The 3,181-nt window shown below is 51.8% G+C and overlaps 1 annotated feature.

Annotated features, from left to right (window-relative positions):
* Positions 477 to 526: a silencer, noted in NCBI's record as "silent region_11179". NCBI's record gives its function as "represses an Ori minimal core promoter by ATAC-STARR-seq in GM12878 lymphoblastoid cells {active_cell/tissue: GM12878}" and the evidence as "EXISTENCE:reporter gene assay evidence [ECO:0000049][PMID:35858748]".

Below are 3,181 nucleotides of genomic sequence, written 5' to 3'. Positions count from 1 at the left end.
GCCTATGGAGGGCAGAAGATCAGCAGAGTTTCACTCAGGGCCCCTTCACAGTGGGTTCAGTGGCTTGGCCCACCAGTCAGAGTAGGGGCCTATGGAGGGCAGAGGATCAGTGGAGTTCCACTCAGGGCCCTCTCGCAGTGGGTTCAACAGCTCCCTGACTCTGGCCCTAGTTATTTCCCTAGTTTCAGAAAGCAGAAACCCCACATGTCTACTTCAAATATGTCCTCCAACCTGTCTACAAATTAGTACAATTTTGTTTATTGTCATAATATCATTTGGATCTTTCTTTCTGTCCTTCTTTCTTTTTTAAAGTATAAAGAATGTGATTTTTTAAAGTTTTTTAAAACCCTAGGCTAGAGAAGAAACAGGTCATGCAGCGTAGTTTAAAAGTGGTTATGAAAGCACTTACACTTACTGGTGCAGTTTCGTAAAGAAACTTTTAGAGAAAGTCCCTGCTGCACACTGTCATTGATCAAGGGTGGCCTGTCATTTTCCAGGTCTAAGAGGTACATTAACTTCATCAAGCAATTATGGCTCTTCCAGGCACTCCCAGGGACATCAGAAGTCCATAAAGTATCAGACGGAAATTATGTTCCATTTCCTTCCCTTCCAGAGTTCTACCAGGTTCCTCCTCATCTCTGAACTCTGCCTCATTTGAAAGGACCAAGACCATCCGTCCCCCCAATGTCTCTGTCTTTTGAGCTCAAGTCCATCTTGACAGCTCCAGTGACCCCAGCCAGCCAGGGGTCACCCACATATCAGTGTGGCAATGTTGCTGCCATTGATCACGGCCCCATTTTCAATATCTGTGAGAGGCAGGGCACACAGTCTCCCCTGAGAACATCCTATCACACTATGATTCCATTTTCTCTCTCCACTTCTTTATTGCCCATTATTCCATAAATGATAGCCTGCCTGGAAACCAAGACATAAACCCCACTGTTTGGGCCTCACACATATCATTCCTCACAGTCCAGACCATGCCTGTATATGGATGGATGAGGGAGCAAAAGTTCCCAGGGGCTCAAGAGCTGCCAAGGGCCACTCTGCCTCCAGCTAAAGGGGCTGCACCGCAATGCTCATCTTCCAGGGAAAGGGCCAGATCATGGGGAAGCCACCTGTGTGTGGGAGAGCAGAATCCATCCCATGCCTCTGGATTTTGTTCATGGGACACAAAGGTAAAGATGGGCAGGTGGGAAGAGGATGTTCTCATTCCAGGACATGTGTTTTGAGACCACTTTCTCTCTGCTGTGCCCCAGGATCCTTTCTGGGGCCTTGGCTGGTTCTCACACTATGGGTTTCTTCTCAGCTCCAGGCCCCAGGAGGCCTCTACTGATTCTCTTTCCTCACAGAAACTGGCACCACCCACAGTGTTCCCTGAGGAACCTCTTCCCCCAGGACCATCCCCACCCTCCCCCTGCTCAGCTGTGAAGCAGTCAAGTTCTTCCCGGATACCTTGCTTCCCCATCGCCTCTGAAGAGGAAATTCCAGGTTGTTTGCATTGGAAGAGTCATACCACTGGTGCCAACAAGGAGATGGGGTAAGTGAGTCCCAGACCTGAGATTCTGGGATCTAATGGCCTACATGGTTGCAGGCCTGGTGTCTAGGAACAACGCTCTTCAGATCTGGAAGGTCATGGTCTACCAGTGAACGCCGCCTCTTTGTCCTTCTTCCCAGGAGAGGTTTGCCAGGCCTCCTTTTGCCCTGCCAGGGAGGACCCCCGGAGATAGCACATAGCAAGACCAAGTGATGAACACCGTGGCTTGCAGAGAACCCCATGCATGGGTGGGTGGCAGCTGGCAGCTCTGGTGAGCTATAGGGCCATGTGGTGGTCCAAGTGGAGACAGTGGTGCTCCAGGCAACTCACAGGCAGACACACCAGCTACTGCGGAAGTTCAGAGGCTCAGCCACCGGACAGGAAGCATGAGGAAGACTCGGTCACAGAGAATAAAGGAAGAGTTCTGTCCATGAATGTCCATGCAGTAGCTCATCCGGCAAACATTCCCTGGGTGCTTGCTATATGCCAGGGTTGGTCTGAGGACCCAAAGAGGGACAGGATTTAGTCCTTGACCTCCAGGGACTCTTGTTCCCAAGGGGGAGACAACTTATTACAAAACAAGAGTGTGAAGTAAAGGTCGATGCTCCCCCCCATACTAATCCCATCCCTAAATGTTAAAACATTGGCACATATTCACTCAGAAATGTTTCTGTGACTATACCAAAAGACAAAAACCAAGACGCTAGAACCACACTCAAACACTGCACCACAGCACCCACAGCATGCAGTGCACAGAGGCCACCACATTACCCTGTGACCAGTGCCGCGGGAGTCCTGAGGGTGCAGCGGAGGGAGAGACACACCCCAGGCAGGCCAGCAGGGATGCCCATTCAGGGGCTGCCCTCTGTCCCCCTCATCCCCTATCCTGGAAGGTACCCGGTTTCCATCTGCAGGTGGGCTTAGGGCCAGGGCTGAAACCCAAGGACAGGACAGGGCTTGGAGCTCAGAAAGATCTGACCAGCGCTCTGTGTCCTGAGTCCCCTGTAACCGTGTAGGGAAGGCAGTGAAGAGACAATCCTCATTACAGAGCCATGGGAATGGACGCAGAAAAGGGGCTGCAGGTTGGGAGCTGTTGCAGGGCTCCTATCTCTGGGGATAGACAAGAGTTTGCACCAAGGTCCACATCCCCTCCCACACATGTCCTTAGAGGCCTCCTCTAGAAGGGGACAGGTGGGACCAGCCAAGGGAAAGCAGCCTCCAGCGCAGAGCCTGACAGCATCACCGTCTGCACTGCCCATCCTTCCCAGGCAGAGGGAAGGAAAACTGGCTGGGACCAAGGAGAGGCAGTGGCTAGGGAAGCAAGGTCAGCCTCTAAATTTTATTCTGGTTTACTCACTGTATTGTTCTTTTTTCCCCGAGATGAAGTCTCACTCTGTCGCCCAGGGTGGAGTGCAGTAGTGGGAATCTCGGCTCACTGCAACCTCTGCCTCCCAGGTTCAACAGATTTCCCTGCCTCAGCCTTCCCAGTAGCTGGGATTACAGGTGCCTGCCACCATTCCTGGCTAATTTTGTATTTTTAGTAGAGAGGATCTCACCATGTTGGCCAAGCTGGTCTTGAACTCCTGACCTCAGGTGATCCACCCGCCTTGGCCTCCCAAAGTGCTGGGATTATAGGTGTGAGCC

This window comes from Homo sapiens, chromosome 2, assembly GCF_000001405.40.
Source record: "Homo sapiens chromosome 2, GRCh38.p14 Primary Assembly".
Taxonomy (NCBI): Eukaryota; Metazoa; Chordata; class Mammalia; order Primates; family Hominidae; genus Homo; species Homo sapiens.
Note: the sequence above shows the minus strand (reverse complement) of the source record. Positions and strands in the feature narration are given on the sequence as shown.